At 42.9% G+C, this 21,946-nt stretch overlaps 1 protein-coding gene across 2 annotated transcripts in view; it reads left to right on the top strand.

The window, feature by feature from the left end:
* SYN1 (synapsin I) overlaps positions 1 to 21,946 on the top strand; it is a 47,957-nt gene that overhangs the window by 2,664 nt on the left and 23,347 nt on the right. For both annotated transcript variants that reach the window (NM_133499.2, NM_006950.3), the window contains exons 2-5: positions 9,996 to 10,053; positions 10,158 to 10,249; positions 11,815 to 11,971; positions 12,127 to 12,216. In NM_133499.2, the coding sequence (NP_598006.1) occupies positions 9,996 to 10,053; positions 10,158 to 10,249; positions 11,815 to 11,971; positions 12,127 to 12,216 (397 nt within the window). The remainder of the gene's footprint in view (positions 1 to 9,995; positions 10,054 to 10,157; positions 10,250 to 11,814; positions 11,972 to 12,126; positions 12,217 to 21,946) is intronic.

Below are 21,946 nucleotides of genomic sequence, written 5' to 3'. Positions count from 1 at the left end.
GTAGCCTTTCTCTCCATTCAGAGCAATTTATTCATTCTGCAGATATTTATTGCATCCTTTCCATGAAAGTGTGGGAGGCATTTATTATGCACCATTATATACTAGGAATAACCCTTCTTCAGCTCCCCTTCCTTCTTTTTTTTCTAAATGCAGGTGTGCTTGAAATCCTCACCTGCCAGCTGGCCTTGCTATACCTTTTCCTCCATGCAACCCCACAATCATTTAATGAGCATTTATCGTATACTACTGAGAACCCTGCGTTAAATGCCTCTTCTCCCCTTTTTGTAGTCCCAATTCCCCCTTCAACAATCTCCATCCTGCCTTTTACACAACACAATCCTGAAAGCTCACAATGTGCACTGTTTTCCATTTATTCTAGCTAGGCCTCTTCCTCCACTTAGTAGCCATCTCCCCAGCTGCCTTTTTCTCCCCGAATTAGTCCAGAAAACACTTATTAATCTCTTACTGTATTATTTTCAAACAGCCACATTATCATCCCTGCAGCAGGCTTCTCCGCTTTTTTCTCTATCAATCTGTAAAGCATTTATGGAGCACGTGCTGTAATTCCTTCACCAACGTCCACTCACCAACGTGTTATCTTCCTGGTTAAGTTTGCTCCATTGAAGTCAGCAAACATCAATGAGGCCTCTGCTGGATATAGGTAATCACCCTCCTTTAGACTTCCGGTCTCCACTCCAGCCCTCCATGCAGGTCCTTTGCGTCTGCTTCCTTCTTTCCATCAAGCATTTATTATCTATGGAATACTGACAAGTCCCTTCCCCTTTCCATAATCACAAATTCAATGTTTTCCATTTTTTCTTTGTCCAGAAAACATTTATTGAGCACCTGCTGAATTCAGTGAAAGATCCATCCCTTCCCCTTCTGCATCTCAGAAGCCCCCCTTTATCCCAGCATCCCCTCCAGTCTTTTCTTCCAGGCAATCTAGCAAATATTTATTTAGTGTCTACTATATGTGGGGTGGGGTGGACAAAGGGACAGAGCCTATGTATGTACGCCAGGCTCAGTGTGGGGAACAGAGACCTGTTTTACCAACTTGCAGACACTCAGAACCACACTAGCTTCAGGGATTTCAGCCCCAAATAAAGCAGGAGTTGTGCAAACTCTGTGATGGAATGTACACCGAAATACAGTCTGACGCCTTTTCCACCAAACCTCACCACCCTCATTCCTTCCTGGGTCTCAATTCCTCTGTGGTTTAAAGTTGAAAACTCTAAGTTGAGACTCATCTCCCCCATTTTGTGGGTAATTTTGTCCTGTGTTTTTCTTTCTTTTTTTTTTTTTGAGACGGAGTCTTGCTCTGTCGCCCAGGCTGGAGTGCAATGGCACGATCTCGGCTCACTGCAACCTCCGTCTCCTGGGTTCAAGCGAGCCTCCTGAGTAGCTGGGACTACAGGCACATGCCACTATGCCTGGCTAATTTTTGTATTTTTCGTAGAGATGGGGTTTCACCATGTTGGTCAGGCTGGTCTCAAACTTCTGACCTCGTGATCCACCCACCTCGGCCTCCCAGAGTGCTGGGATTACAGGCTTGAGCCACCGTGCCCGGCTCTCTGGTGTTTCTCAAACTATGGGTCACCTATTGGCTTATGACCAGCATTTCACTTTCTTCTTGAAGTAGGATAAATAAAAATAGAGAATAACAGAGCATATTGCACATAGTAAATGGAGTTGTTGTTTAGCAAAACATATAATGTTATTCCATTAAGATATACAATCTGTAATGTATATTATATATGACATACGGTATGTAATACATGTGTTATACAATGGCTTTACAGTACATAATACATCTATATGTATATGTTCTTCTTCATGAAATGAAATAAAATAGCATAGAAAAATCAGACTGCATTACACATAGTAAAGGTAATTATCTATTGAAACTTTAATTCCAGTTATGCATATGTATTTATATACATTCTAAATACATATACACATAATATGTAATATACAACATTTTATATGTTACATAATATATAAGACATTCTATATTCTCATATTTGCTGTACAACATATGTGTCTTATATAATACATATATAGGATGAGTTATTATGCAAATACATATATAGTGGGTTATATAAGCTTTATTTCTTACTGTGGCTTCTTTTCTCAGATATATTTCCCTGGAAGCAGACCCCGAGACTCTGAGATTTGCATGCAGATTTACTGGGGAGAGCGCTTGGGAATAACACCTGTGGGGGAGGTTGTGAGGGAAGCAGGATTGTGCAGAGGGAAAAGTTGAGCTGTGATGCAACCACAAAAGAGGCCTCGGCCAATCCTCTGGGGAGCTCTGGCACTGGAATGACCCTTCAGAGTTGTCCCAGTTGAAGCGGGGTGGCCAGGCTTTGAATTCCTATGTCAGTCATTGGCTGTAGGCTGCCCCCTGGGAGGAGGCGTAATCTTGGGTGAGGCAAATCCCTGTTGCAGAGGCCAATGCCCAGTGAGGGACACCTATGAGCCATCAGCAGCGGATAATTCCAGAAGCTGAGGATAGATGCAAAGGTCTGGAACAAGGAGGTAAGGATCTGGGGGGAGCATATAGTCCACACCTTGCACTGCTCCGATCCACTTCCTTCTTATAGTAAGTTCACCCCATTGGGGAACGGCATTTCCAGAATTCTAATCGGTCTTGTTTTCTCAGGGACACTTGAAAGAGCACGGTAGTGAGATGAGCCATAGTCTCTGCTGCTGCAGTTGATTTCAACGTCATAAATGATATTCATCCTCTCCTTCTTTTGTTACCCATTCTAGATTCCCCCCACCCTCAGCTAGCACCACTCTTGGTCTGGGTGGCTCCCATCCTGCAGAGATCCCTGAGCCTTTGGTCCCCATGCCCTTCTCAGGCTGTAGCTGCTGTACAAACAACCACATTTCCCATTTACTATCAAAGTTGAGCAAGGAGTACCAACAGATGCCCAAGTGGATCCCCTGGGTGCCAGACATACTCCTCCCTGCCTCCACTGTGTACCAGCAGCTCTACCTCCTCCTGAGGAGCAAGGTTGGTCACGTCCCCTGCCAAGACAATGGCTCCTTTTTATGTCCCTTGGCATGAGAAACACGAAGTGCCCTGAGGGCAATCATAGCTTACAGTTTAATGGGATTCTTGCTGTGTCCCCTGGTAGCAGTGTTCCCCCTTGGAGAACCAGGACCTCTAACCTTGCAGAGCCCTGAGGGAACAGGAAGCACAATTTCAAAAGTGGATCACTGGGATTGCTGGTAAGCTGGGCCACTCCTTCCTAACCTCTGTGTCCCCAAACCGGTGTATTCTACCTGTTAGGAACACAGCACCTACAATGGCCATTGATTTAGGGTTGACACTGTTTTGGAGGATGGTGCCCATTCTTGCATGATCTCACCTTCAACCTGGGATCTTAGCTGTGGCTGCACCAAATTGTTCCATCATTCCATCAGGCCAGCAGCTCCCGGGTGGCGTGGTGTGTAATACCATCAGTTAATTCCATGGTCATGGGCCCACTTTTGCACCTCCTTTGCTTTGCATTCCTTTACTTTGCTATAAAGTGTGTCCTTTGGTTTGACGCAGTGTTATGCAGGGTCTCGTGCTGGTGGATCAAACGTTATGTAAGCCCTTAGACAGTGAGCTGGCTGAGGTCCTGCAGTAAGAAAAGGCAAACTCAAATATGGAATATTCCAGTCAAAATCGATTACTGTTCTTTGCAGGATGGAAGGGGCCCAATCTAATCAGCTTGCCACAAAGTGGTTGGTTGGCCTTCTGGAGGGATGGTGGCGTGTCAGGGATTCAATGTTAGTCTCTGTTGCTGGCAGATTGGACATTCAGCAGTAACACTGCTGCCCCCACACATAGCTTCTCTCTCTGCTGCTATTGCCACTTATTCATGTGCCCATCTGCTAACACTGGGGTGGCTGATTAGAGCCTGGCTGACATCATCGGGCTGACTCATGCTGTCTACCTGGTTGCCTAGTGTCACTTCCATGGCGCCATGGCAGATGCTGTCTGGTGGGTGTTAACACACGATCCAAAGATCCTCGCTCCTCCCTTTTTTTTTTTTTTTTTTTTTTTTTGGAGACGGAGTCTCGCTCTATTGCCCAGGCTGGTGCTGTGGCACGATCTTGGCTCAGTGCAACCTCCACCTCCCAGGTTGAAGCAATTCCCCTGCCTCAGCCTCCCGAGTAGCTGGGATTACAGGCGTGCGCCACCACGCCCGGCTAATTTTTGTATTTTTAGTAGAGATGGGGTTTCACCACATTGGCTAAGCTGGTCTTGAACTCCTGACCTCAGGTAATCCGCCCACCTCGGCCTCCCAAAGTGCTGGGATTACAGGCGTGAGCCACCGCGCCCAGTCTCACTCCTCATTTCTTGCCCACTCCTAGGTGTCTGCCCACATTTCTGTATCCCAGACCTCTTTGTCTGGATCTTCCAGTCTTTTTATTTCCAGGCCCCTGACCAACCAGCCAAACCATTTACCACTGCCCATAAGTGGATATATGTATTCTAATCTTGAGGCACTTCTCTTTCTGCACAAAGGAGATGAGCAGGTGCACAGCCTGAAGCTCTGCCCACTGGGAGCTCTGCCACTGTCTTTCAAGGCCATTCCAGTTGGGTTATAGTGCAACCACTGCCCATTTTTGGCTTCCACCCACATACTAAGACAACCAATTTGTGAACCAAGCTTAGACCTTTCCCTCTTTCATCAGCTAGTTTTAAGGAGTCCCCTTAGTGAGACAGGCACTAGCACAACAGTGTGGAAGACATGGGGATCAGGGTTACTTACCTGCTCATGCACCTTGCTTGGTTCTGCTTGGGCTCAATCCTGACTGCTGGGCCCACCTGACTTTATTATTTGGCGGGCCCAGCAGGACCCAGCTTATAATGGGAACTTCTGGATGCACAATCATTTGGTGCCTGGTCAAGCATTCTGTCTCTATCAGGGCCCAGCACCTCAATGGGGTGTCTTTCTCAAAAGGCGTAAAATTCTCTGCTGCAGATGGCATGGCTTTGCTCCAGAACCCCAAGGGCCTCCCACTCAGGCTTCCCATAAGCTCCTCACTGCATCTTTCCCCACTACTGACACCTCCAGTATCATAAGATCTGCCAGATCATCTGGCCTAAATGGCAGGACTGCTTGTACCACAGCCTGGACCTGCTGCAGAGCCCTTTTCTGCTCTGGCCCTCACACAAAGCTGGTAGCTTTACATGTCGCCTGGAATATGGGTCAGAGCATTATTTGTGTGTGGGGGACATGCTGCCTCCAGAATGGGAAGAGGCCTCCTAGGTATTGTGCTTTCCTCTTCATGGTGGAAGGTGCGTGATTCAATGCTTTGCTCTATTCTTTGGAGGGGCTGTCCTGGTTTACTGCCCTGGACCACTGGATTCCTAAAAATTTTACTAATGCATCGGTCCCCTGAGTCTTTGTGGAGTTTATCCTCCACCCTCTGTAGTGGATGTGTCTTACCAGGGCAATATGCTCACCCTCTCTTGCTCATCTTGCACAATCAGTATGATGTAATCCATGTGGTGGTCCAGTGTGCTATTCCATGGGATGTCCAGATAGTCCAGGTTTCTCTGGACTATATTATGACACCAGGTGAGAGAGATAGCATAGCCCTACAGCAAGACCATCTATGAATATTATCATCAGTCTCATGTGAGTGTAAACTGTTTCTGATCCTTTTTTCTAATCAGAATAAAAAAGAATGCATTTGCCAAGTCAGCAGCCACCTGCTGTACCTGAGGTCTTATTAATCTGCTCTGGCAATGACAGCGTGTCCAGTATGGCAGGTATAACTAAGGGTACTACTTGATTGTGCTTGCAGTAATCTGCAAGCATTCTCCAGGACCCATCTGACCTCTCCAGGGGCCAGACTGCTCAACTCGATGGAGATAAGATGAGACCAACACCCCTGCATCCTTTAGATCTTTCAATGTGGCATTGATTTCCATCATCACCCATAGGATGCACACAATATTGTTTGTGGTTTATTGTTTTGTTCAGGGCATGGGGGTGTGCGCCATTTTAGAAGCTTCTATTTGGACTTCCCTACTGAAACAGCTCTTATCCCACAGGCTGAGGAGCCCATGTAGGGGTTCTGACAACTACAAAGTATGCCATTGCAATTACGCATTTGTGAACTGAGGAAGTGACCACTGGGTGGGTCTCTAGACCCACCAGACCCACTGTAAGCAGGACCTGGGCCAGGACTCATTTATCACCTTACCACTACTGTGCTTCTCAGCGTGACTGGTACCACCCTCACCAGCATGTTTCTTATTAATTTCATAAGTTGAGTGTATCCTCCAGGCCTTAATCAGCTGGTGGGTTTTCCAGACTTCAGTAGTATATCTACTCCAACATGTCTGCTTCTTTGAGCCCTTTAATCCTTCCCTGTGCAATCTGCCATGGAAGTTCTGCTTCACTTAGTGTGGGCCATTGTTTACTCCAGGTTTCCAAATACCAGTGTGTTAGTAACACTTCCTAGAGTCCTCGCCAGGGTTTTAAGTTCCGTATCCTGGGAGAGCACACCAACTTCCTGTTCTACCTCCTTCGCCCATTGTCCTCAGGATCCAGTCTCATGCATACCTTCCCAGCTCCTGCCAATACGTACTAGCCAGATTCTTTAGGTTCTTCTACAGATCATTTCTCTCCCTTTGCAAGCCTAGAACCTGTCCAGTCAGGTTTCACTAGGATTTCACCCTAATTTTTGGTCTGGTTTCCAGGAGGGTAGGTGGGGGGTAGACTCTGAGGGGGGCAGGCATTGTCTTACAAAGCACCTGCATCATCCGAGGCCTCTGCATTATCTTCAAGCAGAAGGTCTATATTCTAACTCAGGGGAGTAGTCTACTTCAGCAGGCCCAGTGGATGCAGGTGAGTCTGTAAGTTCAAGGTGTTTAACTGCATCTGCCCAGATATCCCCATCTCAGAGTCCTACTCCTGTCCTATTAGGGACATGAGCATGGCCCAGGAGATGTGCTGGGCCTGAGAAGTCAACTTTCTCCGAAGCTCCGCCACCACGTAGAATTAAATTCTGAGCCTGGCCCTCCCTTCTGTCTGCCCTCTGACTGCAGGAGATGAGGGTTTCCTTAAATGCAGTCAGGGAGATCCTCTGGCTTTCACATTTTGCCTTGAATTCACCCTGAGCATGTCAGGTCTTTCTTCAGCTACTCAATGGCGTTTAGGGAATAGTCACCCAAGTCTGGTTACCATTTCCCTGACATCACTCAAGTTCCAGGGATATTTCACCATCCAGTACATTCCCTTCCACCAGAATCCCATTACAGCCCACCATCAGGAAAAGTCACCGCTACTCCAAAACCCTGGGGGCCTGCGCTGTATTCTCCCACCTGGGAGAAGAAATTCCACACAGCATCTTTTCCTACTACTGACACCTCCAGTGTCATAGGATCTGCTGGATCATATGGCCTAAGTCACATCCTGCTTGCACCACAGCCCGGACCTGCTGCAGAGCACTTTGCGTTGCTACAGCATATCGGAGGCTATCTATGCCCCACCTCCCACTACTGATGGGTCCTCACTGCCATCTGGCTGCTGGGTAACCCAGCTCCAGAATTGCATTAGACCACCCTTGTAGTTTGACTTCCATGGCCCACTGTTTTAGGTTGGGTTCCCTGGAAAAAGACTTTGAGGTGGAGATTTGCATGCAGGAGGCTTACTGGAGTGTGCCATTGGGATCAACACTTGTGAGGAGGGTTGGGTTGAGCAGAGGAAGAGGCTGGCTCAAGATGTAGTTGCCTTAGGGGCCTCCGCTGCTCTTAGGGGGAGCCCTGGGGCTGGGAGGGTCCTTCAGAGTCAGCCCAGATTGAGGCAAGGAGGCTGGCCTTTCTTTCCCTTCATAGACCAGACCATGGGGATGCCCTCATGAAGTAGGTGTAACCTTGGACAAGGCAGTTCCCTGTGACAAGACAATTCCCAGTGGGGACACAGCCATGAGCTGTCAGTAGCTGCCATTCAAGGTACATTGTCCCTGAAGAGGAGGCCTGAGCAGACCACCACAGTATCCAACTACACTTATGGTCAGAAAAGTTTTAGAAACAGTGATACACCCTCATCATCCCCACTCATCAGTTTATAGATGAAAAATGTGCAGGGCTGAGAGAGATTCTCTCTCAACACTTCTGAGGGGATAGTGTCAGCGATGGTGTGTGTGTGTGTGTGTGTGTGTGTGTGTGTGTCAGAGAGAGAGCAAGGAAAAAGAAGTAGCTGTACTTGGGGTCTCTTGCATATGTCAGTCAAGTCACCAGGGTCCATTTGTGCCGTGTGTGTGTGTGTGTGTGTGTGTGTGTGTGTGTGTCTGTCCAAGACCCTGATTGTATGTGTGTCAGTGACCAGTAGCCCTGAAAGTGTCTCTCCCCCTCATCCCCCTTCCATGATAAACCTGATTGAGGATGAGCTTCCATCCCTGGAGCAAGCAGCCTGTTGGCTAGAAATCTTGAGCCTGGGGGAGGAGGCCACCGGAAACCAAGCCCAGCTGGGGACGGGCCCGGGGACAATGACATAGCAGTTCGTGATGTTCCTACTGCTGCTCCCACTCCCCCTCCCTCCTGTTGCTCCCTCTCCTCCTCAGCTGCATTCCTCCCTGCCCCCCATCATTGCCAGCTACACTGGCTTCTCTAGAGCCACCCAGCCTGCACCACTCAATCCACTCCTCCTTATCGGATGCAGCTGCCCACCTATGGCCATTGTGTTTCTCACAGCACACAACCACACATGGTGAATGTGCTCCTCCTTGCGAAAGGGCCAGAGAGCAGAGAGATGCTTCAGGCCACACAGCCAGACACAGGCACTGACATATACACAGGCACTAAAAAATACACAAAAACAGGCACGCTTCAGAGAAATGTAGTTTCTTTCTCTCCTTCCTTCCTTCCTTCCCCTTCCTTCCTTCCCCTTCCTTCCTTCCTTCCTTCCTTCCTTCCTTCCTTCCTTCCTTCCTTCCTTCCTTCCTTCCTTCCTTTCTCTTTATTTCTTTCTCTTTTTTGCCTAGGTCTTGCTCTGTTCCCCAAGCTGGAGTGCAGTGGTGCAATCACGGCTCACTACAGCCTCGACCTCCTGGGCTCAAGCCATTCTCCTGCCTCAGCCTCCCCAGTAGCTGGGACTACAGGCATGCACCACTATGCCTGGCTAGTTTTTGTTTTTTGGGTTTTTTGGAGATGGAGTCTCGCTCTTGTTGCCCAGGCTGGAGTGTAATAGCACCATTTTGGCTCACTGCAACTTCCGCCTCCTGGGTCCAAGTGATTCTCCTGCCTCAGCCTCCCAAGTAGCTGGGAATACAGGCATGCACCACTACACCTGGCTAATTTTGTATTTTAGTAGAGAAGGGGTTTCACCATGTTGGTCAGGCTGGTCTCGAACTCTTGACCTCAGGTGATCCACCCGCCTTGGCCTCTCAAAGTTGTGGGATTATAGACGTGAGCCACAGCCCTCGGCTTTTGTTTTTTTTTTTTTTTTTTCAATTTTTTTTGTAGAGATGGGGGTCTCTCTATATTGTCCAGGGTGGTCTCCAACCCTTGGCCTGAAGCAATCCTCCTACCTCCAGCCTCCCAAAGTGCTGAGATTACAGGCGTAAGCCACCGTACCTGGCCAGATAGGTGTTTTCTAAGGTTCTTTGCTGTTTACCGGTCTCCATGCAATTTCAAAGTATGTTCTAATTTACATAGTGCTGCTAATTTTGTGAAGTTTTTTTAAAAAATTTACAATGACAATGTGATGAGCAGACTAAATTTTGGGAAATACCTGCTCTCTGCAGTGTAAGGCCACATTTTACAGTTTGCAATGTCCTTTAATATTTTTGCAACTCCATGAGGATTACAACAGACATTATTCACAAAGCACTCTTGATTTTTTCAAAATATTTCAATAATTATAAGGCACTTTGTGGTTTCTTTAGTAGCATTGAAGGGGCAAAAGGGTCAAGGGCCTGTGTTTTGTCTTCCCTTCTGAGATTTCATCATTGACAGATGTGTTGTTTTTCCTCTCCAGGGCAAAATACTTCAAAGGGAAAAAGATCCATGGAGAAATTGACATTAAAGTAGAACAGGTAAGTTGGGACATTTGGACCTGGGGGTCAGTTGTCCATACTGCAAACTGAGTGGCCATTTTTGTGTGATGTAGGTGAATCACCAGTTTTTTTCTCCTTCCCAGGCCGAATTCTCTGATCTCAACCTTGTGGCCCATGCCAATGGTGGATTCTCTGTGGATATGGAAGTTCTTCGGAATGGGGTGAAGGTCGTGCGGTGAGTATAAGAAGGGTACCTTGGTGTTATGAGCAAGGCATAAGAACTCTCCCTTAGAGCTGGGGGAAAGTTCCTACCTCCCCACCCATCCTTCTGTGGGCAAGAACTTAGGCATGGAATGTGGGGAGACAACTTTTCTTCAGAAAAAGAGCCAGGGACCCCAGGATGCCACAAGTCAGACTTTAAAAAAAAATATATATATATATATATATATTTCAGACAGGGTCTTGCTCTGTCTCCCAGGCTGGAGTGCACTGGCACAATCATGGCTCTCTGCAGCTGCAACCTCTCAGGCTCAAGTGATCCTCCCACCTCAGCCTCCCAAGTAGCTGAGACTACAGGTGCGCACCACCATGCCTAGCTAATTTTTATGTTTTTTGTAGAGATGGGGGGGGTCCTCACTATGTTGCCCAGGTTTGTCTCAAACTTCTGGGCTCAAACAATCTACCTGCCTTGTCCTCTCAAAGTGCTGGGATTACAGGCATGAGCCGCCACACCCAGCCTTCAATTATTAATTAAATAAACATTTGCTAGACATCTGCTGCATGCCAGATGCTGCTCTCAGGACTTCATATTCAATAAATATTTATTGTACACCTACTGTGTGCCAGGAGATATTCTACATGCTGAAAGGCCAAAAAAAAAAAAAGAAAAAGAACCTGGGCCTTATGAAACTTACATTCTACTGTGAGATACACACAATACACAAATAAATAAGAAAATGTAAAAGTGCTAAGAAAAAACATAACAGTGGCCGGATGTGGTGGCTCATGCCTATAATCCCAGCACTTTGGGAGGCCAAGGTGGGTGGATTGCTTGAGCCCAGGAGTTCAAAATCAGCCTGGCCAACATGGTGAAACCCCGTCTCTACTAAAAATAAAAAAATTAGCCAGGCGTGGTGGCAGGTGCCTGTAATCCCAGCTACTCGGGAGGCTGAGGCAGGGAAATCGCTTGAACCCGAGAGGCGGAGATTACAGTGAGCCATGATTGCTCCAGCGCCTGGACAACAGAGCAACAGTCCGTCTCAACAGAAAAAAAAAAAAGAAAAAAATATATATATAGCACTAAAGCAGATGTAGCAATTGTTGGATGATGGTGGGGTCTGCAGTTGGGATAGGGTGGCCTGGTTGCAGGAGAGACATTTGAGGAAAGACCTGATGGAGGTGAAGGAGTGATCCATGCAGATATCTAGGGGGGAAGTGCTTTAGGCAGATGGAACAGCCTTGGTAAAGGTCCCAAGGTTAGAATTTATTCTGGGCAGAACACTGAAGACAGCTTGCAGTCTGAGAGATGGTGACCAGGGAGTTGTCAGAGCTGTGTCGGTAAGCTGCAAGCTGACCTTGCTGAGAAGGGAACAGGTAGGAGAGGCTTAAAGGGGATCACCAGGTGGGCAGAGGGTAGAAAGGGTGCACTAGGCAGAGGGAACAGCTCACACATGTGTGCAGAGGTGAGAAACCACTTTGCAATTTCTGGGAGCTATGGAGATTTAAAAACTTGGTCTTTGTTTCGAGAGTGATTGGGAGCTTCTGGGGGAACTCTCAACACTCCTACCCCTGCCACACTAGGTCTCTGAAGCCGGATTTTGTGCTGATCCGCCAGCACGCCTTCAGCATGGCACGCAACGGAGACTACCGCAGTTTGGTCATTGGGCTGCAGTATGCTGGAATCCCCAGTGTTAACTCCTTGCATTCTGTCTACAACTTCTGTGACAAGCCCTGGGTGGTAAGTAACAGGAAGGGTGCCACTGGCAGAGGGAACAGCTCATGCATGTATGTGGGAGCTTGAAACCAGTCTGCGATTTGGGGAAGTGAGGGTGTTCAGAAACTTACAGATTCGTGGTGAAGGACTCACTGACCCAGCTCTCCTGGTTCTCATAGTTTGCCCAGATGGTTCGACTGCATAAGAAACTGGGGACAGAAGAATTCCCTCTAATTGATCAGACCTTCTACCCCAATCACAAAGAAATGGTGAGTTTGGGGAAAATAGAGTGGGCAGGAGGGAAGAGTCATAACTACTGCAATAATATTAAATATTGGTATATTATCAGCAGTGCGATATCAAGAGTGTGGCTGCTGTGTGCACGTGGAGTCATGAAGTTGCTTTGTGATAGGGTCTACCGTGAATTTCCTTATGCTTACAAGGAAAACTAAATCATGATCCATTCTAATATGTATCAGATCCTGTTACTCATGTTGTCTATTTTTGCCAGTATTAAAAACCTATTTCTAATGTGAATTGACAGAATTAATGTAATGAATCAGAATATATTACATATAGAAATTAAGTCATTATTACTAACATTATCAAATATTCCTTCTGATAGAAATTTTACCTATATTCAAATTAGGATTGCCAATAACATTTATCAATAATAATGTTATAAATTAAATTGTTGGCAAGGCACGGTGGCTCATGCCTGTAATCCCAGCACTTTGAGAGGCTGAGGTGAGCAGATCATGAGGTCAGGAGATCAAGACCAGCCTGGTCAACATAATGAGACCCCGTCTCTACTAAAAATACAAAAATTAGCTGGGCATGGTGGTGCGTGCCTGTAGTCCCAGCTACTTGGGAGGCTGAGGCAGGAGAATCACTTGAACCCGGGAGTTGGAGGTTGCAGTGACCAGAGATCACGCCACTGCACTCCAGCTTGGGCAACAGAGTCCCACCTCAGCCTCCCTCCTATTAATTAATTAATAGAAATTGAACTTTTGGTTACTATTATGAAATATAATCACTGGCCGGGCGCGGTGGCTCATGCCTGTAATCCCAACACTTCGGGAGGCCGAAGTGGGCGGATCACCTGAGGTCGGGAGTTTGAGACCAGCCTGACCAACATGGAGAAACCCTGTCTCTACTAAAAAAATACAAAATTAGCCCGGCGTGGTGGTGCATGCCTGTAATCCCAGCTACCTGGGAAGTTGAGGCAGGGGAATCGCTGGAACCCGGGAGGCGGAGGTTGTGGTGAGCCAAGATCACGCTATTACACTCCAGCTTGGGCAACAAGAGCGAAACTCCATCTCAAAAAAAAAAAAAAAAAATATATATATATATATAATCACTAATATTACAAATTATCACTAATATTATAAATTATTTTTACTGTTGTAAATTATGAGTACCTATGTCATGAATTAAATTATAGTTTCTAGTAGAAATTGAATAATCATTACTAATAGCATCAAAGATTATTGCTGTTATTACAAATGATTATTGCTATTACAAATTATGCTCTAATATAAATTATAAGTACCTGTTTTGACTTACATAAACATGGCATGCAGTGGAGACTACCACAGTTGGGTCATTGGGCTACAATGTGCCAGAATAAAATATGCTGAACGTTTAAATAATAGAAATTGAATTATCATTGCTAATATCATCAAATATAACAACTAATATTACAATGCATTACAGTGTTACAAATTAAGTTTATTACTATAAATGATTAGTACTTATGTTGTAAATTGTTATAATTATTTTTTAAAAATTTAAACCCAAAGTGGGAGGATCTCGTGAGCCCAGGAGTTTGAGACCAGCCTGGGCAACATAGCGAGACCCCATTTCTACAAAAAATTTAAAAATCAGCCCGGCATGGTGGCATACACCTGTAGTCCCAGCTACTTGGGAAGCTGAGGTGGGAAGATTGCTTGAGCCCTGGAGGTTGAGGCTGCAGTGAGCCATGATAGCACCACCGCATCCCAACCTGGGCAACAGAGTGAGACCCTGTCTCAAAACATTAAATAAATAAGTAAATAAAATTAAACCATTAGTACAAACAGTGTAAAAATTTTTACAGATATAACTATTACCAGTGTTACAAATTAAGATTACTAATATAACCCATGAGTACCTGTGTTTTGAATTATCTTGTAGTTCCTAATAGAAATAATTACTAATATGGTTAACATTCTAACTGCTATTATAAAAAAAATCACTAATATTAAAATTTTGATTACTAATATAAATTATGAGTACCACAGTTATGAATCAAATTTTAGTTACAAATAGAAATTAAATAATTGTTACTAATGCAATCAAATTGTATAAGTAATTTTGTCAATTTTTACCAATATTACAAATTATGTTTACTCATATAAATGATCATCACCAATTTTATGACTAAAATTACAATTAAATATAAATATTGACCCAACACTATCAACTTGATTAAATAAACATTGCTACTAATATTAGCAATTCTTACCAGTACTACAAATTATGATCACTGATATACGTCAACAGTGTTGTAAGTTAAGTTTACTTACAGATAAAGATTGAATCATTAGTTTTTCTTTTTTTTTTTTGAGGAGGAGTCTCGCTCTGTCGCCAGGCTGGAGTGCAGTGGCACAATCTCAGCTCACTGCAGCCTCCGCCTCCTGGGTTCAAGCGAATCTCCTGACTCAGCCTCCCGAGTAGCTGGGACTACAGGTGCGTGCCACCACGCCCAGCTACTTTTTGTATTTTTAGTAGAAAAGGGGTTTCACCATGTTGGCCAGCATGGTCTCAATCTGCCCGCCTCGGCCTCCCAAAGTGCTGGGATTACAGGCATGAACCACCATGCCCGGCTTGAATCATTAGTTTTAAGGAAACCCAATTTGTTTATCATTATTATTAGTCTACATTCTTTGAGAGACAGTAGAGCAGAATGTGATTAAGAGCATGGACTCTGTAGCCAGAATTTCTGTATAAGAATCTTACCTCCACAACTTATTAGTTGCTTAACACAGGAAAAGTTACTTAAACGCCCTGTACCTCAGTTTATTCATCTGCAAAATGTAGGTAATAATAGTTCCCGCCTCATATAGTTGGTGTGAGAATGAAATTACTTAGTAAATGTAAGGTGTCTAGAACAATGCATCTGGCATATATTAACTGCTACCTCAGTGTTGACAAATTTCTCCTTCTATTCTTAGTTGGTTGAGTATTTTTGTCGTGAAAGGATGTTGGACATTGTCAAATGCTTCTTCTGTGTTTATTGACATGATTGTGTGAATTTTGTCCTTTATTCTATGAATATGGTATGTAGTACATTAATTGATTTTCATGCAAGTTGATACGTTCATAAGTTTGTTTATGATGTGTCTAGGTGTAGACATTTGCATTCCTAGGCTAAATCTCACTTGGCCTTGGTATAAATCCTTTTTGTATGTTGTAGGATTTAGTTTGTGATTATTTTGTTAAGGATTATTGTATCTATATTCGTAAGAGACATTGCTCTGTAGTTTTCTTATGATGTCTTTTTCTGGTTTTGGTATCAGGATAATACTGGCCTCATAGAATAAGTTGGACAGTGTTCCTTCTTCTATTTTTGGGAAGATTTTGTGAAGATTGGCATTAATTTTTTTTCTTTTTTTGAGACAGGGTCTTGCTGTGTTGCTCAGGCTGGTCTTGAACCCCTGGGCTCAAGCGATCCTCCTGCTTTGGCCTACCAAAATGCTAGGATTACAGGTGTGAGCCACCATGCCTGGTCGGTATTAATTCTTTTTAAATGTTTAGTAGAATTCACCAGTGAAGACATCTGGTCCTGGGTATGTCTTTGTAGGAAGTTTTACTTATTCCTAAATCAATCTCTTCACTTGTTATAGGTCTATTGAGATTTTCCATTTCTTACTGAGTCAGTTTTTGTAGTTTGTGTCTTTCTAGGAATTTGTCCATTTCATCTAGGTTTTCTAACTTACTGGCACATAATTGTTCACAGTACTCTCTTATACTCTCTTATAATACTTTTTATTTCTGTAAGGTCAGTAGTATGTCCACTCTTTCATTCCTGATTTTAGTAATTAGAATTTTCTGCCCTTTTTTATTCTTAGTCTAAAGGTTTATCAATTTTATTGATCTTTTCAAAGAACCAAATTTTTGTTTTATTAGTTCTCTATTTTTAAAATTCTTTATGTCATTTATTTCTACTCTTATTATGTTTTTCCTTGTGCTTGCTTTGGACTTAGTTTGCTCTTTTCTTTCTAATTTCCTAGAAAAAAATGGAAGATTAGGTTACTGATTTTGATATCTTTCTTCTTTTTAGATATAGGCAGTTACAACTATGAATTCTCCTTTAAGCACCACTTTAACTGCATCCCTTACATTTTGATATGTTGTGTGTTCATTTTCATTCATCTCAAAGTATCTTCTAATTTCACTTGTGATTTCTTCTTTGACCTATTGGTTATTTAGGAGTGTGTTACTTTCCACATATTTGTAAATTTTTCAAATTTTCTTCTGTTTTTGATGTCTAATTTCATTCCATTGTGGTCAGAGAACATATTTTGTATAATTTCAGTCCTTTTCAATTTACTGAGATTTGTTTTCTGGCTTAACATATAGTCTGTCCTGAAGAATGTTCCATGTGCACTGAAGAAGAATGTGTATTCTGCCATTGTAGGGTGAAGTGTTCTATAGATGTTTATGAGGTCTAATTGGTTTATAGCATTTTTCAAATCTTCCTTATTGGCCATGCACAGTAGCTCACACCTCTAATTCCAGCACCTTGGGAGTCTGAGGCGGGTGGATTGCTTGAGTGCAGGAGTTCAAGACCATCCTGGGCTACATGGCAAAACCCCAACTCTGCAAAAAATACACATGCACACACAAAAAGCCACATGGTGGCACACGCCTATAGTCCCAGCTACTCAGGAGGCTGAAGTGGGAGGATCACTTGAGCCCAGAAAGTGGAGGTTGCAGTGAGCTGAGATTGCACCACTGCACTCCAGTCTGAGTGAGACCACGTCTCCAAAAAAAAAAAAAACTTCCTTTTTGGTTCCCTGTCTAGTTGTTTTACCCATTTCTTTAAATGAGATATTGAAGTCTTCAGCTATAATTGTTGAATTGTCTATTTCTGTCTCCAATTCTGCCTGTTTTTATTTCATATATTTTGTGCTGTGTTGTTAGGTGCACATATACTTATTATTGTTAAATCTTCTTGATGGATTGACCATTTATGCTTATAAAATATTTTTCTTTATCTCAAGTAACAATTGCTGTTTTAAATTCTATTTTACCTCATATTAGTATAGCTATTCCAGCTCTCTTTTGGCTATTGTTTGCATGGTAAATCTTTTTCCATCCATTTACTTTCAACTTATTTGGGTCTTTGAATCTAAAATGTGCCTCTTACAGATAGCATATAATTAAGTCACGTTTTTCATCCACTGTGCCTATTAACCCTTTACCGTTTGTGCTGAGAACACTCTCTGATGGCACTTGCGGCTGCAGTGTTTACCCTGAGATAACTTTGCCACAAACTGTCTCATTTTTATTATTATTTTCACATCACTCTAGTATATCGACTTTGGAAACAAAAGACATCATTCTATTTATAGCATTCTGTTTTTAGGAGTGGTATTTCCACTTACAAAATATAGTAATTCTCAATCATTGAAAATGTCAAATCCTAGAAAATGTAACATCCCTACAAATGATGTTAACATCGTTCTTGAACAGTCGTTGGATGAAGAATCATTTGATGAATCTGATTTTTCCAAAATAGATGGTTCTGATGATTCAGATGATTCTGATGATTCAGATGATTCTGATGTTAGTTCAGCTTAGAAATAACTCCAAGAATAGTTTTTATATTTTGTTTTGACATTGAAAATCAGTTAGCTTTGCTTCAGCCTCAAAGAGCATGTTTATATAAAATCTAGTGAGCACAGGCAGCAAGCTGCACGTTTTTTTTTCCTAAACAGGAAAAGGGTTAATCGCAGTGTTTAATTAACTTATGTTATTGTAATTCCTGATAAGGTAGGGTTTATGTTTGCAATTTTGCTATTTGTTTTCTATATCTTATTTTTTGTTCCTGTATTCCTCTAGTAATGCCTTCTTTTAAGTTAAACAGATATTTTCTAGTGTACCATTTTTAATTTTTCTGTTATTTCTTCCCTATGTCTTTTATTCATTTTTTTAATTTAAAAAATTTTTATTTTTTTTTGATACAGGGTCTTGCTCTGTCACCCAGGCCAGAGTGCCATGGTAGGAACATGGCTCATTGCAGCCTCAACCTCCTGGGCTCAAGCTACCCTCCTGCCTCAGCCTCCTGAATAGCTGGGACCACAGGCATGTGCTATCATGCTCAGCTAATTTTTAGTTTTTTATTTTTTATTTATTTATTTATTTATTTATTTTGAGACAAAGTCTCACTCTGTCACCCAGGCTGGAGTGCAGTGGCACGATCTCGGCTCACTGCAACCTCCACCTCCTGGGTTCAAGCAATTCTCCTGCCTCAGCCTTCTTAGTAGCTGGGACTACAGGTGCCTGCCACCACACCCAGCTAATTTTTTTGTATTTTAATTGAGGCGGGGTTTCACCATGTTGGCCAGGCTGGTCTCGAACTCCTGACCTTGTGATCTGCCCACCTTGGCTTCCCAAAGTACTGGGATTACAGGCGTGTGCCACCGCACCTGGCCAATTTTTAATTTTTTTGTAGAGACAGGACCTTGCCATGTTGCCCATGCTGGTCTCAAACTCCTGAGCTCAAGTTACCCACCTTGGCCTCCCAAAGTGTTGTGATTACAGGCATGAGCCACTGCACTTAGCCTGTTTTTTTTTTTTCTTAGTTGTTTCCTTGGGTATTACAATTAACATCATTATTTATATTACTCCAATTAGAATTAATACCAAATTAAGCTCAGTAATACAAAGAAATTGCCTCTATATAACTTTATTCCTTCATCCCTCCTTTGTGCTATTATTGTCAAACAAATTACATCTTTACACATTGTGTGCCCATGAACATAGTTATAGTTATTGCTTTATGCAGTTGTCTTTTAAATCAGGAGTAAAAAAGTGTTACACGCAAAAAAATGCATTTATACTGTCTTTTATATTTACCTATGTAGTTAACTTTACAGGTGCTATTTATTTCTTTATGTAGATTTACATTACTAGCTAGTATCATTTTATTTCACCCTGAAGGACTCCGTTTAGCATTTTTTGTAGAAGTTTGTTAGTGATGAACTATCTCAGTTTTTGTTTATCTGTGAATGTCTTAATTTCTCCTTCATTTTTGAAAGATAATTTTGCTGGATGTAGAATTCTTGTTTGGCAGTCTTTTTCTTTCAGTACTTTGAATATGTTGTCCTACTGCCCTCTGACTTCAAGATTTCTAATGAGAAATTAGCTGCTAATCCTATTGAGGATTCCTTGTATATGATGAGTTACTTCTCTCTTACTTTCAAGATTCTCTCTGTCTTTAGCTTTTATAAGTTTATGATGTGTCTGGGTGCCTATCTCTTTGAATTTATCTTAGTTGGAGTTCAGTGCACTTCTTGAATGCATAGATTAATGCTTTAAATCAAATTGGGGGGATTTTTAGCCATTATTCCTTCAAATAGTCTTTCTTGCACCTTTTTTTCTCTCTTTTCTCTCTCCTTTTGGGACTTCCATTATGTGGGTGTTCATATGCTTCATGGTGTTCCACAGACCTCTAGGACTGTGTTCATTTTGTTTACTTTTCTTCTTCCTGTTCCTCAGATTGGATCATCTCACCTGACCTGTCTTCAAATTCACTGATTCTTTACCCTGCCAGCTCAAAGCTACTGTTGATCCCCTCTAGTGAATTTTTCATTTCAGTTATTATGCTTTTTATCTCCAGAATTTCTTTTTTTTTTTTTTTTTGAGATGGAGTTTCACTCCTGTCACCCAGGCTAGAGTGCAATGGCACAATCTCGGCTCACTGCAACCTCCACCTCCCAGGTTCAAGCAATTCTCGTGCCTCAGCCTCCCGAGTAGCTGGGATTACAGGCACACGCCACCATGCCTGGATAATTTTTGTATTTTTAGTTGAGAGGGGGGTTTCACCGTATTGGCCAGGCTGGTCTCAAACTCCTGACCTCAGGTGATCCACCCGCCTCAGTCTCCCAAAGTGCTGGGATTACAGGCATGAGCCACCATGCCCGGCCCAGAATTTCTTTTTCATGTAATTTCTCTTTATTGATACTCTCTACTTATTAGGATATCATTTTATCCTTTCCTTTAAGTTCTTTAAACATAGTTTCCTTTAGTTCTTTGAAAATATTAAAAATCACTGATTTACAGTTTTTGCCTATTAAGTCTAACATCTGGGTTTCCTCAGGGATAGTGTTTGACTGCTTTTTTCCCTGTGTTTGGGCCACACTTAATTTTGTTTCTTTGCATCTCTCATACATTTTTGTTGAAAACTGGACATTTAAATAATATAATGTGGCAACTCTGGGAATCAGGTTCTCTCCCCTCCTCAGGATTTGTTTTTATTGCTTTGTTTTGTTTTTAGTGACCTTCCTGAACTAATTCTGTAAAGCCTGTGTTCTTTGTCATATGTGGCTACCCAAGTCTCTGCTCCGTTAGCTTAGTGGTCAGCTAATGATTGGACAGATATTTCTTTAAATCACCTGAAACCAGTAAGTCTCCCAGACTTTGCTGATGGGCTCTATGTGCATGTCAGGGTGTGCCTTTAATGCAAAGGCAGGCTGTTTACAACTTTGCCTTATCCTTCATTTCCTGCTTGTGCAGAGTTTTGAGGTCAGCCAGAGATCCTAGGCATACATACAGCCTTATGCGTATTTGTGGTTTTCTAGATTCCCAGGCATATGTCAGAGCTTTTTAAAGCCTAATAATGGACTGATAATGGATATATAATTACCTAGATTTTCCTTTTAAGTTTTCTTGAAAAGCTTGTTGTTTTTTCCTAAATGTTATCACTGCTGTGTTAAACAGTTGCTGCTAATTGTTTCTGAAAAGCACCCCCAGAGAAAGCTGTTTATACCAGATGAGCCCCATGAGTGGAGTATTCAGGATAGTGCCAGACAGATCAAATAAAGACAGTTCTCTGGAAATGAGATTTTGGAGGAACTCCAACCCTGTTCTGCCTCCTCCAATGGTTGCTAGTCTGCTGGTTTTCACTGGAATTGCAGGGCTGTTGATTTTCAAGGCTCTTGTGGAGGTGAGGAGAAGGGGATGTGTACAAGAGAAGTTCAAATGCCACAGCTTCCTGTTGTTACCAAGATTCAGCCATTTTCTTGAAAAAATGCTTTCTGAATTGTAAACCTTGGTCAATTTCCAGAGTTCTGATAAGTTTGTTTTGACAATTTTTGCCAGTGTTCTCATTGCTTTTAAGCAATTTTAAGGAGGAGAAGACAGGCTCTTACATTTCTGCTGACATCACCTCCAGGCATATCTTGTTCTTTCCCGGCCCCAGCCCAAAGATAATAGTATTTCAAAGCCAAGATCTGGGAACTAGATTTACTCATTGCTACTGGAATGTTCTTGCTTCAAGGCCCTCTCATTGTACACAGCTAGGACATTTCATTTCTTTATGTATATATATATAATTTCATATATGTGTATATATAAAATTGTTATATGTGTGTGAGTAGAAGAATCAAACTGTTTTTTCTTCTGCTCTCACAATACCATGTGTGGAGGCTTTTACACACACACCAAGAAGCAATTAATTCTGCAGCAAATTAATATACCAGCTGGATGTCCTGCAATTCAATTCTGACACTATCTACCTGGAGGATAGCATCAGATCACACAGGTTAAGGGTGTAGTCCCACAGGACTAAGCCCTACTTCTAATGCTGATGGCAAGCCCCAGGTTATTTTACCTGTGCTTCTGACCAACTAGCTATAAATCGGGGTCCACAACCCCTTCCTCAGGTTCAATTAGTTTGCTAGTGTGGCTCATGGAACTCAGGGAAACACTTATTTACATGATCGGTTTATT

The sequence above is a fragment of the Homo sapiens genome, chromosome X (assembly GCF_000001405.40).
Source record: "Homo sapiens chromosome X, GRCh38.p14 Primary Assembly".
In the NCBI taxonomy this organism is placed as follows: Eukaryota; Metazoa; Chordata; class Mammalia; order Primates; family Hominidae; genus Homo; species Homo sapiens.
This window is presented reverse-complemented; position numbering and strand designations above follow the sequence as displayed.